At 38.7% G+C, this 24,954-nt stretch overlaps 1 protein-coding gene across 3 annotated transcripts in view, besides 1 other annotated feature; it reads right to left on the reverse strand.

The window, feature by feature from the left end:
- Window positions 1–24,954, reverse strand: part of ZSWIM5 (zinc finger SWIM-type containing 5) — a 190,207-nt gene that overhangs the window by 103,368 nt on the left and 61,885 nt on the right. The gene's annotated exons all lie outside the window — the stretch shown is intronic.
- Window positions 14,671–14,965: an enhancer, noted in NCBI's record as "tiled region #10410; HepG2 Activating DNase matched - State 5:Enh". NCBI's record gives its function as "activates a minimal TATA promoter and a strong SV40 promoter by Sharpr-MPRA in HepG2 cells {active_cell/tissue: HepG2}" and the evidence as "EXISTENCE:reporter gene assay evidence [ECO:0000049][PMID:27701403]".

Genomic DNA, 24,954 nt, shown 5'->3' on the forward strand with positions numbered 1-24,954 from the left:
CTAGCACAGTCTGGTAGTAATGACTTACAATCCCAAAACTTCTCATTTTCACATCTCTTCTGATGATCTCATCTTACACCTCCCAGAGAAATCAGAAGCCAACAGTAATTTCCCATTGTTCTACCGACAAAATTATCTTTATCACATCCACTCTCTTTTACTCACTTCAGTTCTACTTTGCACAACCATCCTTTCATTTTACCCAATGGCAAAACCCTAAGTCTAGATGAACCCAATTGCCTGTTCTTTCTAAATTCAACCACAGTTGCTGAACATTGCTATCAAAACCCATACAAGCCAGGCGCAACTGCTCACACCTGTAATCCCAGCACTATGGGAGGCCGAGGTGGGTGGATCACTTGAGGTCAGGCATTCTAGACTAGCCTGGCCAACATGGTGAAACCCCATCTCTACTAAAACTACAAAAATTAACTGGGCGTGGTGGCACATGCTTGTAGTCTCAGCTACTCGAGAGGCTGAGGCAGGAGAATCACTTGAACCCCGGAGGGGGAGGTCGCAGTGAGCCGCCACCACACTCCAGCCTGGGTGACAGGGCGAAAAAACAACAACAACAACAAAAACCACACAACACTGCAAATTGACACTAATACATTAATTATAGCTATCAACCTCAAACACACTCTCAATTTCTCATATCATTCCAATGGTTTCCATATTCAGTTCTCTATCTTACTCCACAGGGGCTACTTCTTCTTTCAAGGTATTGCTCTGTTGCCCAGGCTGGAGAGTGCAATGGTGTGACCATGGCTCAGTGCAGCCTTGACCTCCTGGGCTCAAGCAGTCCTCCTGCCTCAGCATCCTTCCTGAGTAGCTGGGACCACAGGTACATGCTACCATGCCTGGCTAGTTTTTCTTTCTTTTTTTTTTTGTAGACATGGGGGTCTCCCTATGTTGCCCAGGCTGGTGTCGAACTCCTGGGCTCAAGTGATCCTCCTGCCTTGGCCTCTCAAAGTGCTGGGATTGTAAGTGTGAGTCGCCATGCCCAGCCCACAGGGGCTATTTCATTCTCCACTACTCTCGAACTTCCAACCTCCCCCAAAGCTTCTAAACCTATACACTATTCTTCATCCCCAGCCCTCCTTTCACTTTTCTTCTTGTCAAAATAGATGTTTCGCTCCTAGTTAAGGGTAATTCTTCCACCTCTGCTCTGGATCCTATCACTTTTCATCTTTTTTTTTTTTGAGACGGAGTCTCGCTCTGTCCCCAGGCTGGAGTGTGGTGGCGCGATCTCGGCTCACTGCAAGCTCCACCGCCCGGGTTCACGCCATTCTCCTGCCTTAGCCTCCCGAGTAGCTGGGACTACAGGCGCCCGCCACCTTGCCCAGTTAATTTTTTGTATTTTTTTAGTAGAGACAGGGTTTCACCATGTTAGCCAGGATGGTCTCGATCTCCTGACCTCGTGATCTGCTCGTCTCAGCCTCCCAAAGTGTTCGGATTACAGGCGTGAGCCACAGCACCCGGCCCACCTTTCGTCTTAATTCAACTCTTTGGATTATTTTTTCTCATACAGTAGTCAGTTTTCCTTATTCATTGGCTTCTACTCAACAGTCCTCTCTGTAGGCTCTTATTCCTCTGCCTATCACTTTAATGTTCCTCAGGATTCTGTCTTAAATCGCTGTCTCCTTTTATCCTCTCTCATGATCCCATGGCATCAATGACCACAAGTCTAGTCCAAACCCATGTAACCAACTTCATTATCACTTGGATTTTCCGCAGGGACTTAGACTTAATGTGTATAAAACTTGATTCTTCTTCACCCCAAACCTCTTTCTTTATCCACTCATTTATAGATAGGAATCTTTTTTTTTCTTCTTCTTTTTTTTTTTTTTTTTGAGACAGGGTCTTGCTGTTGCCTAGGCTGGAGTGCAGTGGCACAATCATAGCTCACTGTGGCCCTGAATTTCTGGGCTCACTTCTGCCTCAGCCTCTCAAGTAGCTAGGACTATGGGTATGTGTCACCACACCCAGCTAATTTTTCCTTTGTAGAGACAGGGTCTCACTATGTTGCCCAGTCTGGTCTAAATGACGGGGCTCAAGTGATCCCCTCACCTCAGCCTCTTAAAGTGCTGGGATTAGAGGCATGAGCCACCACACCTGACCAAGAATCATTCTTGATGCTTCCTTTTCCTAATCCTTGTCTTTCTCTGTCTATCCAAATTCCATTAATCTCTCTTAAACAGTTCAAATCTCATGAACTCCAAATATCTTCCTTGATGATCTCAAATTATACTGATTTCTCACTCTGCTAACCTGTTTGGCACCTATTATCTATAGTACACAATTAATTACATTCTGTCTTACTCATTAACTTATTTAATAGTTTTAAATAATATCAGTATATTGAGGCTAATACCCAGAGAAACAGTATTATCAAGTGTTAAAGAAAACTGGCTCTGGAATCAGACCTGGGTTCAAAGGCTGACTCTGTCACTCAACAGCTATATGTCTTGAGAAAGCTGCTTGACCTTTCAGTACCACAGCTTCTTCATATGTAAAATGGTGATAATAATCTGCATTTCATGTCATTGCAAGGATTAAATAAACAAATGTATGCAAAACACTCAGACTAGTGCTAAACATATAGTAAACACTCAATGACAAGTAATGACAGTTAAAACTTATATAACAGCCATTAGTAACTTCTTCTGGGAAGATGGAGTAGATATATTTTTTCCTATTCTTCCCATGAATACATCCAACAAACCCTGGACATTATATACAAAACAAACATAAAAAGACTCTGAAAGGTGGAGGGCAGAAGGCAGACTGGTTAGGAACTTCAGGACCCAAGGAATGACACAGTGAGGATTTCCCTGGGTTTTCTTTTTGTTTCATATATCTCAGAGTTGGAGGTGTGAATAAGCCTGCAACCAAGAAATGCCAACAGATGCAGACCAAAAAACACAGAAAAACACAAAAAATCCAACCCCAACAAAAAAGCCTGCTCTCTCTAACTAAAGGGCAGCCTAGGAAGACAAAGGCACTTTTAGACAATAACAGTTCTACTCCAGACAAACAGCACAGAGAACACTGAAACCAAACCCCCACCAAGGCTGAGTGGGGAGCCTTCTATATCTGTCAGGCTATAACAAGGTGCCCCCTATGTCCTCCTCTCCCTGCTGCAGTGGTGTCAGATGAAGCCCAGTGGAAAATCAGGACTTTCACTACCCAGTGGTAACGAGGCCACCACCCTTCCACCTCTGGTGTCAGTAGAGGCCATGCAAGGAACAGTAATGAAGGATTCCTAATTCTCTAAGCATGGAGGGGCCTGAGTGGAGAACCAGGACTTCTACCTCCACCTAGCAATAATGAGGCTGCTCCCTTCCTACCTCTGCCACAAGAGTATCAGAGGAAACCAGCTAAAACGGAAGTTTAAATAAAATCCAGAGTCTTATAATATAATGCCCCAAATGTCCAGGTTTAAAATCACTCGATACACCAAGAACAAAGAAAATCTCAACTTGAATAAAAAAAGACAATAAGTAGATATCAACACCAAAGTGACAGGGATATAGAATTTTGTCACAAAGATTTTAAAGTATCCATTATAAAAACATTTTCAATGAGCAATGACAACTGTATGTGAAAGAAATGAAAAAATAGAATCTCTCAGCAGAGAAACAGAAGATACAAAGAAGAACAAAGTGGAAATTTTAAAACAGAAGAATACAATAACTGAAATAAAAAAATGTATGGACTCAGCAGCAGATGGACGAAACAGAGAAATCGGTAAACTTGAAGACAGAATAACAGAAATTACCTAATCTGAAAAACAGAGAATAGACTAAAACAAAACAAAACAGAAAACCACACCAGAGTCTCAGGGACCTGTCAGACTACAACAAAAGATCTAATCTCACTGGAATCCCAGAAGCAGAAAAAAGAGGGCAGAGCTGAAAAAATACTTGAAATAATGTCTGAAAACTCCCCAAATTTGGCAAAAGACATAAAGCTACAGATTCAAGAAGCTGAATAAACCCCAAAGAGGATTATACCCAAAGAAATCCACGTCAAGATACATCATAGTTAAACTTCTGAAAACTAAAGACAAGAAAACCAAACAAGTAAACAAAACCCCAGACCTTAAAAGCAGCAAGAGAAATAACACCTACAGGAGAAAACAATTCAAATGGTAGCAGATTTCTCATCAGAAACCAGGCAGGCCAGAAGAAATAACACAGTTTTTTCAAGTGTTGAAAGAAAACAACTATAAACCCCAAATTCTATCTCCAGCAAAAACAAAAACAAAAACCCTTCAGAAATGAAGGCAAAATCAAGACATTAAAACAAATCTGCTGTCTACCCTAAAACAGTAGCTAAAGGAAGTTTCCCAAACAGAGGGGAAATGATAAAAGAAGATATCTCAAAACACCAAGAAGAAAAAAGGCAGTAAACAAAAATATGAGTAAATTAAATAGGTTTTCCTTCTCCAATTGAGTTTTCTAAATTGTATTTGACACTTGGAAAAAAAAATTATAACACTGTCTGATCTGCTTCTAAATGTATGTAGAGAAAATATTTAAGCCAATTATAAATGGAGAAAGTAAAGAGATATAAAGAAAAGTAAGGTTTCTATACTTCACTTGAAGTGGTAAAATATCAACATCAGTATACTATGATTAAATTATGTATACAGAACATAAAACCTAGAATAGCTATTATATAAAAACTGTAAAAAGAGATACACTACAAATGCTATAGATAGATCAAAATCGAATTCTAAAAAATGTTCAAGTAACAACCCACAGAAAAAGAAAGGCAAAAGAAAACAGAAACAGAAATCAGCAATAAACAGAAAACAAAAAATAAAATGAAAGACATGTCAAAACATACATTAAATGAAAATGGTCTAAATATACCAACTAAAAGACAAGAGATTGGTAGAGCAGATATTTTAAAAACATGACCCAAGTATATCCTGTCTAGAAGGAGCTCACTTCAAATATAACAATACAGGTAAGATTGTAAAAGAAAGGAAAAAGATGTATCATGAAAACATTAATCAAAAGAAAGTAGTAGTTATATTACCAGAGGGACTTTAGAGCAAATAAAATTATCAGAAAGTGAGGGACATTACATAATGATAGAGTCAATTAACCCAGAAGACACAGCAATCCTAAATTTGTATGAACCAACATGCTGCAAAACATGTGAAGCAAAATCTGACTGACCTGAAAAAAGATACAGACAAATCCACAATACAGTTAATACCTCTCTCAGCAACTGACAGAACAACTATACAGAAAATCAACAAGGAATAAATATATAGAAGAACTCAACAATGCCATCAACCAAGAGAATTCAATCGATATTTATAAAACATCTCCTCCAGCAAAGCAGAATAAACATTGTTTTTCACATACTTGTGAAACATATGCCAAAATAGACCATTTCCAGGTAATGAGGCAAATTTCAATGAATTTAAAAGAATGAAAATAATACAGAGTGTGTTATCTGACCATATTTTTTTAAACAATCAAACTAGAAGTCAATAACAGAAAGGTAACAGGAAAATCACCCAACACTTGGAAATTAAACAACATACTTCTAAATAATCCAGGGGTCAAAGAAGTCTCAAGGAAAATGAAGAATATATATTAAACTGAATAAAAATGAAAATATAACAGACAAAAATTTGTGGAATGCAGGTAGAGCAATGCTGAGAGGGAAATTTATAGCAGGAACTGCTTTACATCAAAAAAAACAAAAAAAAACAAAAGGCCACGCCTATAATCCCAGCAATTTGGGAGGCCAACGCAGGGGGAATCACGAGGTCAGGAGTTTGAGACCACCCTGGCTAACATGGTGAAACCCTGTCTCTACTAAAAATACAAAAATTAGCCGGGCATGGTGGCAAGCGCCTGTAATCCCAGCTACTCGGGAGGCTGAGGCAGGAGAATCTCTTAATCCTGGGAGGCGGAGCCGAGATTGCGTCATTGCACTCCAGCCTGGCTAACAAAAGCAAAACTCCGTTTCACAAAAAAAAAAAAAAAGGAAGGCCGGCACAATGGCTCATGCCTATAATCCCAGCATTTTGGGAGGCCAAGGCAGGAGAATCGCTTGAGGCCAGGAGTTTGAGATCAGCTTGGGCAGCATAGCAATATCTTATCTCTACAAAAAAATTTTAAAAATTAGCTGGGCATGGTGGCAAGAGCTTGCACCCCTAGCTACTCTGAAGACTGAGGTGGGAGGATTGCTTGAACCCAGGAGCTTGAGGTTACAGTGAGCCTTGATTGCACCGCTGCACTCCAGCTTGGGTGACAGAGCGAGACCTTGTCTCAAAAATAATTAATTAAATTTAAAAAAAATTTTAAAGGAAAAAAAAATCTCAAATTAACATAAGTTCCACCTGAAAAATCTAGGAAAATTGAAATAAACCAAGCAGAAAGGAGGAAGTAATAAAGGTAAAGAGAAGAAATCCATGAAACTGAAAAAAAAAAAATCAATGAAACAAAAATCTGGTTCACTGAAAAAATAAATAAAATTGATAAACCTTCAGCAAGAATGACAAAGGAAAAAAGAGAAGACACAATACCAACATGAGGAATGAAACAAGGAATATTACTACCAGCCCTGCAGACTTCAAAAGAATAATAAGTAAATACTATGAACAACTCTACGCACACACATTTAAGGACACAGATGAAAAGAAAAAAAACCAATTCCTTAGAAAGCACAAACTACCAAAACTCATCCAGTAAGAAACAGATTAACTGAAACAGCCCTAACACTATCAAGAAAATTGAATCCATAATCTCAAAACTCCCAAGGGAAATCCTTGTGCCCAAATTATTTTACTGGAGAATCCTACCAAATGTTCAAAAATGAATCAATGCTGGGCACAGTGGCTCACACCTGTAATCCCAGCACTTAGAGAGGCAGAAGCAGGAGGATAGCTTGAGCTCAGGAGTTCAACACCTACCTGGACAACATAGTGAGACTCTGTTCTCCACAAAAAGGAAAAAAAAAATGAATTTATATCAATTCTACATAATTGCTTATAGAAATGTAAGAGAAGAGAACACTCCCCAAATCATTTTATTAGAAAAACAACAACAACTTGTTTTAAGAGATGGGGTCTCACTCTGTCAACTATCCTGGAGTGCAGTAGCACGATCACAGCTCACTATGGCCTGGAACTCCTGGGCTCAAGCAATGCTACCACCTCGTTCTCCCGAGTAGCTGGGATTACAGGCACAAGACACTGTGACCAGCTGCCAAATCACTTTATTAAACTACCTTTACCCTGATACCAAAACCAAAGACAGTATCAAGTAAGAAAACTAAGGACAAATATCCCTCATAAATATGAGACAAAAATCCTTAACAAAACATGAGCACTCAGAAGTCAACGATATATAAAAAGAATAGTACACCATGACCAAGTAGAATTCAGTCCAGGGCTGCAAAGCTGATATAATATTTGGAAATCAACTAATGCGCTCCATCATATTAACAGGCTAAAAAAAAATCACCCAATAATCATATAATCATATCAGTTGACACAGGAAAAGTATTTGGACAAAATTTAATACACATTAAATTCCTCAATTTGATACAGAGCATCTACAAAAAACCTACAGCTAACATACTTAATGGTGAAAGATTAAATGCTTTACGCTAAGATAGGGAACAAGGCAAGATTCTGCTCTCACTTTTTTTTTTTTTTTAAAAGAGACAGGGTCTCATTCTGTCACCTAGGCTGGAGTGCCATGCTGCCATCATAGTTCACTGCATACTTGATCTCCCAGGTTTAAGGGATCCTCCTGGGTAGCTGGGCCTACAGGTGCACACCACGATGCCAGGCTAATTTAAAAAAAAAAATTTTTTTTTTAGAGATGGGGTCTTGCTTTGTTGCCCAGGCTGGTCTCAAACTCTTGGCCTCAAGCCATCCTTCCGCCTCAGCCTCCTAAAGTGCTAGGATTACAGGCTTGAGCCCTCACCACTCTTACTGTACAAAGCAGTGGTGAATCAGTGAGTTCAGTCAGGTCACATGACATAAGATGAACATATGAAAAATAAACTGTATTTCTATATACTAGTAATGAACATATAGAAACCCAAACTAAAAACTTAATACTATTTAGAGTCACTGAAAAAAGAAGAAAAGACGAGGGAGTATAATATAAATCTAACAAAACATATACAGAACTTTTATGCTGGAAACTATAAAATACTACTGGTGAAAGAAAACATAGATCTAAATAAATGAAGAGACATTCCATGTTCATGGATTAGAAGACTCAATATAGTAAAAATGTCAATTCTTTCTAAATGCCATTAATGTAATTCCCATCAAAATTCTGGAAAGATTTTTTTGCAGACATAGACAACATAGACAAGATTATTCTAAAATTTATATGGAAAGTCAAAGGCACTTAAATACGGAAAAAGAAGAATAAGGTAGAAAGAAACAGTCTACACTCTTTCTTTCTCTCTCTTTCTTTCTTTGACACTGTCTTAGTCTGTCATCACAGCTCACTGCAGCCTCAACTCCCTGGGCTCAAGCAATCCTCCCACCTCCAGCCTCCCAAATAGCTGTGACCACAGGCACACACCATGCCCAGCTAGTTTTTTGTTTGTTTAATTTTTGTAGAGACAGGGTCTCATTATGTTGCCCAGGCTGGTCTTGAACTCCTGGCCTCAAGCGATCCTCCCGCTTTGGCCTCCCAAAGTGCTGGGATTACAGGTGTATGCCACCGCCCCTGGCCCACTATTTTAAGAGTTGTTACAGAGATATAGTAATTAAAACTATGTAGCACTGGAGGGAGAGGCACATAAATCAATGGAACAGGGAATCCAAAAATAGACTCACATAAACGTGCCAGCTAATATTTATTTGTTTTAAAGTACATTTGTTAATATTAGGGTCCATCCTTTATGTTGTATAGGTCTATGAGTTTGATAAATGCATAATGCCATGTATCTACTATTACAGTATCATACAGAATAGTTTCACTGCCTCAAATATCCCTAGTGCTCCACTTATTCATCCTTTCCCTGCTACTACTCCACAAACCTCTGGCAACCACTAGGTTTTTCTTCTTTTTTTTACTGTCTAAAGTTTTACCTTTTCCCAAATGTCATATACTTGGAATCATACAGTATGTAGCCTTTTTATACTGATTTCTTTCACTTAATATGCATTCAAAGTTCCTGCATGTCTTCTCATGGCTTGACAGCTCTTTTTAGCACCAAAAAATATCTCATTGTCTGGAAATACCACAGATTATTTACCCATTCGCCTACTGACAACTTGATAATATTGAGTCTTCCTATCCACGAACATGAAACATCTTTCCCCTTATTTAGGTCTTCTTTGATTTCTTTCATCAGAGTTTTATACTTTTCCTCACATACATCTTGTTTTTTTTTTTTTTTTTTTTTTTTTGAGACAGAGTCTCGCTGTTGCCCAGGCTGAAGCGCAATTGCGCAATCTCAGCTCACTGCAAGCTCTGCCTCCTGAGTTCATGCCATTCTCCTGCCTCAGCCTCCCGAGTAGCTGGGACTACAGGCGCCCGCCACCACCCCTGGCTAATTTTTTGTATTTTAATAGAGACGAGGTTTCACCATGTTAGCCAGGATGGTCTCGATATCCTGACCTCGTGATCCGCCCGCCTCAGCCTCCCAAAGTGCTGGGATTACAGGCGTGAGCCACCATGCCCAGCCAGATCTTGCATTTTTTTTTAAGAGTTATGTATATGTTTCTCTTTCTTTTTTTGGTGGGGAGAAGTCCTAATATAAATAGTGTTATTTTAAATTTCAAATTCCAGTTGTTCATTGCTGACATATAGGAAAGCAATTGACTTTCATATATTTACCTGCTTCCTTCAACCTTGCTATAATCCTGATTTTTTACAAAGGTACAAAAGCAATACAATGGAGAGAAAATAAAGTCTTTTGAACAAATGATACAACTAAATGTCCACGGCAAAAAATAATACAAGTAATAAACTTTGACTTAAACTTCACACCTTACACAAAAATGAACTCAAAATGAACCACAGATTAAATGTAAAGTTATAAAAGTTTTAGAAGAATAGAAAAAAATCTTCAGGATCAAGGGCTAAGAGTCCCTAGACTTGACACCAAAAACATAATCCATAAAAGGAAATTTTTTTTTTTTTTGAGATGGAGTTCTGCTCTGTCACCCAGGCTGCAGTGCAGCAGTGTGATCTCAGCTCACTGCAACCTCCGCCTCCCGGGTTCAAGTGATTCTCCTGCCTCAGCCTCCTGAGTAGCTGGAATTACAGGTGCCTGCCACCATGCCCGGCTAATTTTTGTATTTTTAGTAGAGACAGGGTTTCGCCATGTTGGCCAGGCTGGTCTCGAACTCCTGACCTCAAGTGATCCACATGCCTTGGCCTCCCAAAGTGTTGGGATTACAGGCGTGGGCCACCATGCCCAGCATCATAAAAAGAAATACTGTAAACTGGAGTTCGTCAAAATTACAAACTCTTGCTCTATTAAAGAACCTATTAATAGGATGAAAGGACAAGCTACAGACTGGGAGAAAATATTTGCAAACTAATTATCAAACAAAGGAACACTATTTATAATATACAAAGAACACTTAAAACACACACACACACACACACACACACACAAAACCCAAAAACCAAACAACGCAATTAGCAAATGGGCAAAAGACATGAAGAGACATCTCACCAAAAAGGATAGACAGATGGCAAATAAAAAGATGTTCAACATAACAGGCCACTAGGGAAAAACAAATTAAAACCACAATGAGATATCACAACACACCTATCAGAATGGCTAAAATAAAAAAAAATAGCAACACCACCAAACACTGATGAGAATGCAGAAAAACCGAATCACTTGTAAGTTGTTGGTGGAAATGTAAAATGGTACAGTGAACTGGAAAACAGATTCAGAGTGTCTTAAAAAACTAAACATACAACTAACAAATGACTTAGCAATTGCACTCCTGGGCATTCAGGAAAATTAAAACTGAACACATAAACCTCTTGAAAGCAGCTTTATTCATAATTCATATTCAGCTAAAAACTGGAAGTCATTCAGATGTCCTTCAGTGGGTGAACAGTTAAACTGTAGTGTACATTCATACCATGGAATACTACTCAACAATAAAAAAACATGCAATTGATAACACACAACAGCACCATGCAACTTAAAATCTCCAGAGAATTATGCTGAGTGAAAAGAGACAATCCCCCAAAGCTACATTATACTATTCCATCTATGTAACATTTACATTTTTGAAATGGTAAAATTATAGGAGAACAGATTAGTGGTTGGCAGGGATTAGGATGTTGATGGAGAGAGTAATACCAGATGGAAATGAGTATAGCTATAAAGTAACAATGGGATGGATTCTCGTGGTGATGTAAACATTTTGAATCTTAAATATATCAATGTCAATATCCTGGTTGTAATATTCTACTATAGTTTGAAGGTGTTATCATTGGGGGAAATTAGGTAAAGGGCATTTGGGATCTCTTTACATTATTTCTTAGGATTGCATATAAATTTATAATTATCTCAAAATAAAAAGTTTAATAAAAAACATATAATGCTTATAAAGATGAATAATATATAATATTCTTGCCCCTGGTGAGCCAATGAACTCACAGAGCAGTGGTGGGGAAGTCAGGCATTTAAATCAAAATCACAGCCGGGTGCTGTGGCTCATGTCTGTAATTCTAGCACTTTGGGAGGCTGAGGTGGGTGGACCACTTAAGCTCCGGAATTTGAAACCAGCCTCGCCAACATGGCGAAACCCAGTCCCCACTAAAAATACAAAAAATTAGCTGGGCACGGTGGTGTGTACCCATAGCCCCAGCTACTCGGGAGGCTGAGGCACGAGAATCACTTAAACTCAAGAGGTGGAGGTTGCAGTGAGCCAAGACTGGGCCACTGAACTCCAGCCTGGGAGACAAAGCAAGACTCTGTCTCAAAAAAAAAAAAAAAAAAAAAAATCACAATCACAATTAATTAATGATGATAGTAGCTACTAAAAGGTAGTACTATTATTATTATTATTTTATGGATGACCAAACTGAAGTATAGAGCTGTCTAGTGACTTCTTACAATTAGTAGCTAACAAGTGATATAAAAGTTATATACAATTATACAATGTATGGAGAGAACATAAAGATTGGAGTGACCAGTTTATATGCTGGGGCAGGGCAGCTGACACAAAGTCTCACTGAATAACTGAAACTTGACGGATACTAAGGAGTTGATCAGGTATTCTAAGCAGAAAGATCAAAAAATTTTAGAATTTTATAATAATAAATTATATAATAATATATAATTTTACAAACATTTTATAATTTTATAATAATTTCACTATGTATATATGTAATTGAATATCACTATATATTTATATATGTACTTGTATATGAAAACATCATGTTGTATACATTAAATTTATACAACAAAAAATAAGAAAAAAACATGCAAATTTCACTGATGTGCGGTGAGAAGATGCTACTCAAAGAGATGTCATTTATAATAGCTTCCCTGGCTCTCAATTTTCTCCCTCATAAAATAAGCAGTTAAAACTATTTTATCTCTGAAGTCCCGTCTAGTTCATACAGTCTATGATTCTATGCTGGTAGCATTGAAAGTTAAACAAATTACTGGGACACTGTAGGCACAGTACTTTTCTCTATGCAATACTAGAATAAATCATGGGAAATGTGTCCCTGTGCCCTAAAAACAAGGATATAGCTACTGTCACTTATAAATTAAATAGCACTGTGATTCAAGTTAAAAAAGACTTAGGAGTTTGAGACATTGAACCACCATTTATAATGTGCCTACGGGAAAATAATTTTTTTTCTTTTTTTTTATTATACTTTAAGTTCTAGGGTACATGTGCACAACATGCAGGTTTGTTACATATGTATACATGTGCCATGTTGGTGTGCTGCACCCATTAACTCGTCATTTGCATTTGGTATATCTCCTAATGCTATCCCTCCCCACTCCCCGCACCCCACAACAGGCCCCAGTGTGTGATGTTCCCCTTCCTGTGTCCAAATGTTCTCATTGTTCAATTCCCACCTATAAGTGAGAACATGTGGTGTTTGGTTTTTTTGTCCTTGTGATAGTTTGCTGAGAATGATGGTTTCCAGCCTCATCCATGTCCCTACAAAGGACATGAACTCATCCTTTTTTATGGCTGCATAGTATTCCATGGTGTATATGTGCCACATTTTCTTAATCCAGTCTATCATTGATGGACATTTGGGTTGGTTCCAAGTCTTTGCTACTGTGAATAGTGCCACAATAAACATATGTGTGCATGTGTCTTTATAGCAGCATGATTTATAATCTTTTGGGTATATACCCAGTAATAGGATGGCTGGGTCAAATGGTATTTCTAGTTCTTGATCCTTGAGGAATCGCCACACTGTCTGCCACAATGGTTGAACTAGTTTACAGTCCCACCAACAGTGGAAAAGTGTTCCTGTTTCTCCACATCCTCTACAGCACCTGTTGTTTCCTGACTTTTTAATGATTGCCATTCTAACTGGTGTGAGATGGTTTCTCATTGTGGTTTTGATTTGCATTTCTCTGATGGCCAGTGATGATGAGCATTTTTTCATGTGTCTGTTGGCTGCATAAATGTCTTCTTTTGAGAAGTGTCCATTCATATCCTTTGCCCACTTTTTGATGGGGTTGTTTTTATCTTGTAAATTTGTTTGAGTTCTTTGTAGATTCTGGATATTAGCCCTTTGTCAGATGGGTAGATTGCAAAAATTTTCTCTCATTCTGTAGGTTGCCTGTTCACTCTGATGGTAGTTTCTTTTGCTGTGCAGAAGCTCTTTAGTTTAATTAGATCCCATTTGTCAATTTTGGGTTTTGTTGCCATTGCTTTTGGTGTTTTAGACATGAAGTCCTTGACCATGCCTATGTCCTGAATGGTATTGCCTAGGTTTTCTTCTAGGGTTTTTATGGTTTTGGGTCTAACATTTAAGTCTTTAATCCATCTTGAATTAGTTTTTGTATAAGGTGTAAGGAAGGGATCCAGTTTCAGCTTTCTACATATGGCTAGCCAGTTTTCCCAGCACCGTTTATTAAATAGGGAATCCTTTCCCCATTGCTTGTTTTTGTCAGGTTTGTCAAAGATCAGATGGTTGTAGATGTGTGGTATTATTTCCGAGGGCTCTGTTCTGTTCCATGGGTCTATATCTCTGTTTTGGTACCAGTACCATGCTGTTTTGGTTACTGTAGCCTTGTAGTATAGTTTGAAGTCAGGTAGCATGATGCCTCCAGCTTTGTTCTTTTGGCTTAGGATTGTCTTGGCGATGCGGGCTCTTTTTTGGTTCCATATGAACTTTAAAGTAGTTTTTTCCAATTCTGTGAAGAAAGTCACTGGTAGCTTGATGGTGATGGCATTGAATCTATAAATTACCTTGGGCAGTATGGCCATTTTCACGATACTGATTCTTCCTATCCATGAGCATTTTGCTTTTTGCCTAGAAGCAAAACTAGTGAAAATAAAAGTATAAAAATAAATACAATTTACATTAATATAAATAAATAACTTTTAAACTAAATATGGCATATAAAGCAATTGTTTAAAAACTATCCATACTCCAAATGTATTCTAAAATGTTTGCTAAAGAGAAAGGAAAAAGATGAGTCCTTTAAAAATGTTAGACTCAGGCTTGGAAAGGGCTGTAGGTCTTGAAGAGAAAAGTTAATGAATAATCTTTTGTGTCTGATGCCAGTTAGTTTTTATAACAGTTTCAAGGCTTCAAAGGACAGGAAGCTGTAGAGCAGAGTTCAAGAGAAAATTTCCATCCAGACTGGAAAAAGCAGCAGAGGGTAATCCCAGGAAAACAGTGCATATGTAAACAGAATCATTTCCTTCTTTTTGGTTTAGATTGGAAAAAAGCATGATGCTGAAAGATACTGGAAGGCAAGCAAAACCTGAGCTGGGAAGAAAAACAGAACAGAAATAGTCTCTAGCGGTCAGGTGCAGTGGCTCACACCTGTAATGGCCAGCCACTTCTATGTGAGATACTTCATATGAATAGAATCATACAATATTTGTCAATTAGTGGCTGGCTATTTCGCTTAGCACAATGTCCTCAAGGCTCATCCATGTTGTAGCATATGAAAGGATTTCTTTCTTTTTAAAGCCTGCATTACACATCATTGTATGTATATAACACCTTTCCTCTATCTATTCATTCATCAGTGGACATTTGGGTTGTGTCCACCTCTTGTCTATTGTGAATAATGCTACAATGAACATGGGATTATTTTTAAATTCTGCTTTGAATTCTTTTGGATATATACTCAGAAATGGGATTGCTAGATCATACGGTAATTCTGTTTTTTTTTTTTTTTGAGGAACCTTCATACTGTTTCCATAATGTAAAAATACCATTTTACATTCCCACTCACAGTGCATGTGGGTTCCAATTTTTCTGCATCAGTCATAGAAACAGAAAGCAGAAAAGGGGTTGCTAAGGGATGAGGTAGGGAGGAGAGGAAATTAGTGTTTAATGGGTATGGAGTTTCTGTTTTGCAAGATGAAAAAGTTCTAGAGAACTGCTGCATAACAATGTGAATATACTTAACACTACTGAACTTAAAAATGGTTAAGATGATAAACTTAATGTTATGTGTTTTGTCTTAAAAAACAGATTATGTCACACTGAAATCTTCTAATGGTTTAGCTTTATATAAACAACTGACTGCAATTATTGGTCAAATCTTAGACTTCGTTATCTATGCTTATGGAATGTCTTAACAGCTTGAACTGTGTGATTTACAGCCTCCAATTATACTCTGACATTTCTTGATTACTTCTGAAAAAGTCTTTCATTTTCAAAGAGACACATGTCTACTAAGAATTAAGATTAGTGAATTTAATAATCCTGATAAGAAAACTGAAGACTATAAGCCATTTTTTTTCTTTGACTTTTAATCTTCCATTATCAGAACAAACCAATTCTCATTGTCCATTGGACACATCTACTCCTCCCATTCACCTACTTCCTAATGGTAGAAAATTTTCAGGATTTTTTAGTTGTACAGCTGTCCAACTTGGAGGGACTTCTCAATGTGTGAAGTCTTTTTTTTTTGAGATGGTGTCTCACTCTGTCACCCAGGCTGGAGTGCAGTGGTGTGATCTAGGCTCACTGCAACCTCTACCTCCCAGACTCAAGTGATCCTCTCACCTCAGTCTCCCAAGTAGCTAGGACCACAGGCATGCACCATCACGCCTGGCTAATTTTTCTATTTTTGGTAGCGATGGAGTTTCGCCATGTTGCCCAGGCTGGTCTCGAACTCCTGAGCTCAAGGGATCCACCTGCCTCAGCCTCCCAAAGTGCTAGGATTACAGGCGTGAGCCACTGTGCCCAGCCTCAATGTGTGAAGTCTTGGTAGGGCTTTTTATTATTTAGAAAACCTTGAAATATTGAAGTTCACAACAGGTCATAAAAAACTAACACTTCCTTTCAGCCAGCTACATTAATCTTAAATCCATAATTTATTTCATATATTAAACAATACATCAAATTCATAATATATAAAATATAATTTATCATGGTTACAAAATTTCATAGCGAAAATAAAAGCAACTGGGATTACAAGTGTGAGCCACCGCATCCGGCCCATTTGGGTTTTCTTTAACTTTTTATCCCTTTTTTTTGCTCCTACTACAGACATGGAAGGTCTTCTTTAATGACGTTAACGTATACATCTGATAAGTACAATATCAGGATTTCCTGGGCCTGTTTCTCTTGTCTTTTTTTGTTTTCCCTCTTGGTGTTTAGTCAAATCTTGTCAGTTTGCATAACTGGTTATTTTTTACTGAGTTTCAGTTATTGTATATGGAAAACTGTAGAAATAACCTGAGGCTCTGGAACACGTTACCTTCCTCCAAAAATTTACTCTTCTTATTTGACAGGCAATTAAGCTAAAGGAAGATTGCTTTAAGCAGGATCGAGATGATAAAAATTAGGTTTCAGCCCTTGTGAATACTAGTCTATTTTTGGCTCACCCCTACTCCTAGGGTATATATAATTCTTCAGGGTTCCAATAAAAAGCCTGGGGTGTTTACCAGGGGCTCTCCTCCTTAGCAGCTCTCCACATTTTGCCCTTCTAGCCCCATAAGACTGCTGAAAGCCCTATTCAGTTTCTCAGCCTCTTATCCTTGCTAATTTTGTAAACAGCAATCACCTTGAGTGGTCCTAAATGTTGGGCTCACCTCTCTTAGCTTCTCCCTTCTACCAGATCTTACCCTCACAAATTCTCATTGCCTTGGTACTTTCTGATGCCTTCAGATTTTTTTATTTTTTAGACACAGAGTCTCACTGTGTCGGCCAGGCTAGAGGGCAAAGGTGCAATCATAGCTCATTGAGGCCAAGTGATCCTCCTGCCTCAGCCTCCCAAGTAGCTGGAACTCCAAGCACACACCACCATGCCCAGCTAATTTTTTTAGGGTCTTGCTATGTTGCCCAGGCTAGTTTTGAACTCCTGGCTTCAAGTGATCCTCCTGCCGTGGCCTCCCAAAGCATTGGGATTGCAGGCATAAGCCACAGCATCTAATCCAAACAGATTTTTAAAAATATTTATCTAGCCCTTGTGGACCTTCTATTTTAGAAGAAAGGCAATAAACAAAAAATAAGTAAATTGCAGTATATTAGAAGACAACTGCTATAGAAAAAAAAAGTAGATCAAGGTTGGGTATAAAGGGCTAGAAGGTAAATTGTAAATTTAAATATGGTGGACAGGGTAGGCCTGCCTCACAAGAAGGTAAAAACTCAGCAAAAACTTGAAGAAGATGAGGGATTTGCCCATGTGAATATCTGAGTCAAAAACTTTACAAGCTGAGGCAATAGACAATATAAAGATCCAAAGACAGGAACATGCCTGGCATGTTCAAAGAATAGCAAGGAGGACATTATGATTGGTGCAGGATGAGCTAGTGGGACAGTAAAAGAGAAGTTAGAGCAGTAACACAGGGAAGGGTGACAGATTAGTTGGAGTCTTGTAAACTATTGTATGGAATTTGGCTTTCACTCTAAGTGAAATGAGGAACTTTTGCAGCATTCTAAGCAGACTACTATCATCCTGGCTGCTGTGTTGAGAACATACTATACTGAGGCAAGGGTAGGAACAAGGAGGCCAGTTACATGGCTACTGTAAAGAATTCACGGGAGAGATCACATTGGCCTGAATTAGGGTGATAACGGTGGAAAGGGTTGGAAGCAGTTCCTCCAATACTGGGGTTTACTTTCTTACCAATCTCATTTCTATGAAACTGCCTAAATATGTATCTCCATAAATAGAAAACATGCACAAGTGACCCCTAACAACATGGGATTGAACAACATGGGTCAACTTATACAAGGATTTTTTTTTCAACCAAATGTAAATAGAAAATACAGTATTGATGAAAATTTTTTAAAAATGAAAAGAAAGGCTGGGCACGGTGGCTCACACCTGTAATCCCAGCACTTTGGGAGGCCGAGGCAGGTGGATCACTTGAGGTCAGGAGTTCGAGACCAGCCTGGCCAACATGGCAAAATCCCCATGTCTACTAAAAATACAAAAATTAGCCGGGTATGGTGGTGTGTGCCTGTAGACCCAGCTACTCCGGAGGCTGAGGCAGGAGAATCGCCTGAACCCAGGAGAAGGAGGTTGCAGTGAGCCAAGACCACGCCATTGCACTCCAGCCTGGGAGACAAGAGTGAAACTCCATCTCAAAAAAAAAAAAAAAAAAAGAAAGGAAGAAAAACAAAATAGAGTATTCATGAGATTTGCAACCCACACATATGGAGGGTCAACTTTTCAAATAAGCAGGTTCCGCAGGGCTGACTATGGGACATGAGGATACAGGCTTCATTATACAGGCATGATTAATTAAATCATTGGCCACTGGTGATTAGCTCAAAATGCAGCCCCTCTCCCCTCCCCAGGGGAGATCAGGGGGTCAGGTAGAGTGAAGGTTCCAACCCACTAATCTCATGAGTGATTCTCCTGGCAACCAGCTCCTATCCTCACTAACATTAACTCACGTGTGGATGACAAGGACTTATGAAAAGCTGAAATAATTCATCAATAGTAGAAATTTCGTTTTTCTTTTTCTTTTTCTTTTTTTTTTTTTTTGAGACCGAGTCTTGCTCTATTGCCCAGGCTGGAGTGCAATGGAGTGATCTCAGCTCACTGCAACCTCCGCCTCCTGGGTTTAAGTGATTTTCCAGCCTCGTAGCTGGGATTACAGGCACCTGCCACCATGCCCGGCTAATTTTTGTATTTTTAGTAGAGACGGGGGTTCACCACACTGGCCAGGCTGGTCTCAAAATCCTGACCTCAAATGGTCCGCCTGCCTCGGCCTCCCAAAGTGCTGAGATTACAGGTGTGAGCCACCACACCGGCCCTTTTTTCCGTTTTTTAAGAGACAACAGTCTCACTCTGTTACCCAGGCTGTGGTGCCATGGCACAATCACAGTACATAGCAGCCTTGACCTCTGGGCTCAAGTGATCTTCCCACCTCAGCCTCCTTACTAGCTGGGACTACAGACGCCTGCTACCATGGTGGCTAATTTCTCTTTCTTTTCTTTTCTTTTTTTTTCTCTCTCTCTCTCCTCCTCCCTCCCTCTCTCTCTCTCTCTGCCCCTCTCCCTCTCTCCTTCCCTCCTCTCTCCCTCCCCTCTCCCTCCCTCTCTCTCTCTTTTTTTTTTTTTTTTGTAGAGACAGTCTCAAGCAATCTTCCCACCCAAAGTGCTGGGATTATGGTATGAGCCACCATGCCTGGCTTCAAACTCCTGGGCTCAGGCAATCCTCCCTCCTGTTTGAGCCTCCTGAGTAGCTGAGACTACAGGTATATGCCACCATGCCCAGCTAATTTTTTCTTTTCTTTTTCTTTTCTTTCCTTCTTTTGCTTTCTTCGATTTTTTTTTTTTTTTTTTTTTTTTGGTAGAGACAGGGTCTTGCTTTGTTGCCCAGGCTGGTCTCAAACTCCTGAACTCAAGTGATCCTCCCACCTCAGCCTCCCAAAATTCTAGGATTACAGGTGTGAGACATCCTGCCCAGCAACAGCAAAAATTTTAAATGAAGTCCTTCAGGCAGAAGGAAATAATACCAAATGAAAAATATGAATTTGCACATAAAAATGAAGAACACTGGAAACAGTAGCAATGTAGATAAATTCAAATGACTTCATTTATTATTTAAATCTCCTGAAAATACAACTATTAAAAGAAAAACAATAACAATGTATTTTAAGGTTTACATTTTGTATAAAAGTAAAATGTGTGAAAACATTAGCACAAAGGCTGGTAGAGGAGAATGGAAGTGTGCTGTGATAAGGTACTAATACTATTAGTGAAATAGTACAATATCACTTGAAAGTAGACGGTGCTAAAGGTACAACCAAAGGTTGGCAAACTACAGCCTGCAGGCCAGATCTGACCTGCCACCTGTTTCTGTGAATAAAGTTTTATTGGGATACAGCCACAGTTATTCATTTATCTATTGTCTATGGCTGCTTTTGTGCAACAATGGCAGAATTGTAGTTCCAACAGATAGTGTGATCTACAAAACCTAAAATATTTAGGCTATCTGAACATTTATAGAAAAAGTTTGCTGACCTCTGGTATATACTATACACTCTCAAATATGCACAAAAAGATACAGCTAATATGCCAACAAAGGAGATAAAATGGAATCACAAAAGATAATAAAAAAGGAGGCAGAAAAATAAGAAGAGAACAAAGAACAGATGACAAACAGGCAACAAATAGCAAGATGGTAGATTTAAACACAACCATATCAACAACCATGTTAAATGTAAGCAGCCTAAACAGCCCAATAAAAAAGGCAGAAATTATTACATTGGATAAAAAAGCAAGATCTGATCATACACTGCCTACAACAAACCCACTTAAAATATAAAGACATAAATAGGTTAAAAAGATTAAGCTTCTAGAGATGGATAAGATGGAGTAAGCACACTTTACTCTCTCCCACTGAAGGCAGCTTTCAAACTTGGAAAGAATGTATGCAGTAGTATTTGAAGATGCTGAAAAGTCATTAGTAGCAGACAGACTGGGAAAGGAGACCAGAATTTGAAGTACCACTGAACCAGCAGTGAGTTTATCCTTTTTTTTTCCCTCTAGTATACCCAGACTGAATTCAACACATTCAAAAGCCCAGTAGTGAGTATTGGGGTGCATACAGAGAAAGATCCAGGAAAAGCCTCTCAAAGGGTGGGAAAAAGAACTCCTAATACTCAGAGAGAGTGTGAAAAATCCCCCATTTTTTCCACTTTCTTTTCTCCATTTACTCATACCCCAACCTCCGGGCAATCCTGTCGTGATGGCAGTGAAAGCAGCAGCAGCTGCAGCACCAGTAGCAACGGGAATCATCAGAAGTCAAAATTCTGAAAAAGGGAGACTTTCCTCTCTTTTGGTAGAGCAGTAGTTCTAAGAGGATGAGACCAATTCTCACTCTGTCTTTTTCTGTTTTCCTGCTGCTTGGACCTAGATATGCAAGTATACATCAGAAAGGGGTAACTGTTCTAAGTTTCTGGTGAGAGAACAGAAAAGGGAAGCCTCAGGGAACCAGAAAGTACTAGGGAGATCACAGAGATGAAGAACTCAGGAGAGCAAGCCCATAAACTGGTTTATGAACTCCTGGCCCCAGCCCAAGTAGAGAACATGTAGATCTGTCCAATTCAGCATATAATAAACAGAAGTGACATTCATTGGAATTATAGGCCATAGCAGCCAGGTTGAAACTTGGGGTCTGAACCCAACCAGATAGACTGCCTACTAAAACAACAACTATCAACATAATCCGTAAGATTTATCAAAAACCAGCTGACTACAAAAACCTCACTTCAAATACAATGATATAGGTAGACTAAAACGATTAAAAGTTTAAACATGGAAAATATATTACCATGTAAACACTAATCAAAATAAAACTGGAATGGTTATAGTAGTATGAGACAAAGTAGACCTTGAACACGCACACAAAAAACAACACAGATAAAAAAGAATATCATGTAATAATAAAAGGGTCTGGCAGTAATCCCACGGTGGCTGGGATTACAGGCATGAGCCACTGTGGAATTACTAGCTGACCCTTTTATTATGACATAATATTCTTCTTTATCTGCATTGTTTTTTGTGTGTTCAAAGTCTGCTTTGTCTTATATTACTATATGAGAGGTGGGTGTATTGTTTGAGCCTAGCAGTTCTAAGCCAGCCAAGGCAACATGGTGAAACTTCATCTCTACAAAAACATGCAAAAATTAGCCAGCCATGGTTGTGCATGTCTGTGGTCCTAGCTACTCAGGAGAACAAGGTGAGAGGATCACTTGAGCCCAGGGAAGCTGAGGCTGCAGTGAGCCGAGATCACACCACTGCACTCCAGCCTAGGTGACAAAGTGAGGCCCTGTCTCAAAAAAATTAATAAATAAAAAGAATTATTAGAGATAACTACACATACAAATTGGACAACTTTAATGAAATCAACTAATTTCTCACAAACTCAAACTACCAACATTCACCAAAGATTAAACAGATATCTGAATAGTCTTTTTGTTTTTTGTTGTTATTTTGAGTTAAGGTCTTACTCTGTCACCCAGGCTAGAGTACAGTGGCACAATCATGGCTCACTGCAGTCTTGACCTCCCAGGCTCAGAAGATCCTCCCACCTTGGTCTCCCTAGTAGCTTGGACCACAGGTACATGCCACCATGCCTGGCTAATTTTTTGTATTTTTTGTAGAGATGGAGTTTTGCCACATTGCCCAGGCTGGTCTCAAACTCCTGGACTCAAGCAACTGGGATTACAGGTATGAGCCATGGTGCCTGGCCAATAGTTGTATATTTACAAGAGAAATTGAATAGGTGGCCAAAAACTTTCTGAAAAATAAATCTCCAGTGACAGATGGTTTCACAGGCAAATTCTTCCAAATATTTAAAAAAGAAATAATACCAATTTTATAAAATTTCATTCAGAAAAAAGAAAGAGGAATACTTCTAAACTCGTTTCATGATCCCAACACTGTTCTGTACTAAAGCCAGACAACAACAGTATTTAAAAAAAAAAGAAAACACAAGGAAGAAAACTATAGACTGCTGGACATGGTGGCTCATACCTATAATCCCAGCACTTTGGGAGGCCGAGGTGAGCGGGTCACACGAGCCCAGGAGTTTGAGACTAGCCTGGGCAACATGGTGAAACCCTGTCTCTACCAAAAAAAAAAAAAAAAATTAGCTGGGTGTGGTGCATGCCTATGGTCCCAGCTACTCAGGAGGCTGAAGTGGGAGGATCGCTTACACCTGGGAGGCAGAGGTTGCAGTGAGCTGAGATTGTGCTACTGCACTCCAGCCTGGGCGACAGAGTGAGACTCTGTCTCAAAAAAAAAAAAAAAAAAAGAAGAAGAAAAGAAAACACAGACCAATATTTTTCATGAACATAGACACAAAAACTCTCAACAAAATATTAGCATACCAAGTCCAGAAACATATACAAAGAATAATATACCACAACAAAGTGGGCTTTCTTCTGTGAATGCAAAGCTGTTTCAATATTTGAAAAGTAATTTATGTAATCCACCATATTAACAGTCTAAAGAATAAAAAACATGATCATACAATTTGACACAGAAGAAAGCATTTGACAAAATACAACAACTGTTCATGACTAAAAACAACAGCAACAACAAAACTCTTAGCAAACCTGGAATAGAAGTAAATTTCTTCAACCTGGTAAAGGGTATCTACAAAAATCCTCCATCTAACAAAATACTAAATGGTGAAAGACTCAATGCCTCCTTTCTAATATCGGGAATAAGGCAATGATGTACACTCTCCCCATTCCTATTGAACACTGTACTGAAAATCTTAGCTGGTGCAACACAAGAAGAAAATGTAATAAAAATATACAGATTGGAAAGGAAGATATAAAACTATCCTTATTCAAAGATAACATGATTGTCTACCTAGAAACTCCCAAGGAATTTACAAAAAAGTGCAGTTAGCAAGGACTCAGTTACAAGATCATCATAAAAAAACCAAACATATTTCTTTATGCTAGCAATATACAAATACAAACATAAATTAAAAAAAAAAACAATTATAATAACTTCAAAAAAGTAAAATATTTAGGTATAAGTCTAACAAAACATGTAGGCATCTATAGACTGAAAACTATAAAACAGTGATGAAAGAAATCCAGGAAGACCTAAATAAATAGAGAGATATACTGTGTTCACAGATTGAAGACTCAATATAGTGAAGATTTCAATTTTCCTAAACTTGATATATAGGTTTAATGCAATATCAGTCAAAATCTCAGATATTTTAAAATATAGACAAGCTAATTTTAAAATTTATACAGAAAGCCAAAGGAACTGGAAGAGCTAAAATAATTCTGAAAGGGAAGAATAAAGTTAGAGGAATCAAATGAACTTTAAGAAATACTATAAAGCAGCCAGGCATGGTGGTTCAAGCCTGTAATCCCAGCACTTTGGGAGGCTGAGGCAGGAGGATCATTTGAGGCCAGGAGTTCGAGACCAGCAAGGTCAGTATCACGAGATCTTGTCTCTAGAAAAAAAAAAAAAGAAAAAATTGCCAGCCATGATGGTGCACAACTGTTGTGTCCCAGCTCCTTGGGAGGTTGAGACAGGAGGTTTGCTTGAGCCCAGGAGTTTGAGGCTGCAAGTGAGCTATGATCGTGCTACTGGACTCTAGGCTGGACAACAGCGTGAGACCCTGTCTCCACACAAATATGGCCAATCGATTTTGCAAAAGAAATAAAATCAATTCAATGAAGCGAGGACAGTCTTTTCAATATATAGGACTGGACACTGAACACTAAACATTGAACATCAATAAGCAAAATGAATAAACAAACCTCAATCTAAACCTCACATTTTGTACAAAAATGTTTAAACTGTTTAGAAT

The sequence above is a fragment of the Homo sapiens genome, chromosome 1 (assembly GCF_000001405.40).
Source record: "Homo sapiens chromosome 1, GRCh38.p14 Primary Assembly".
Lineage (NCBI taxonomy): Eukaryota > Metazoa > Chordata > Mammalia > Primates > Hominidae > Homo > Homo sapiens.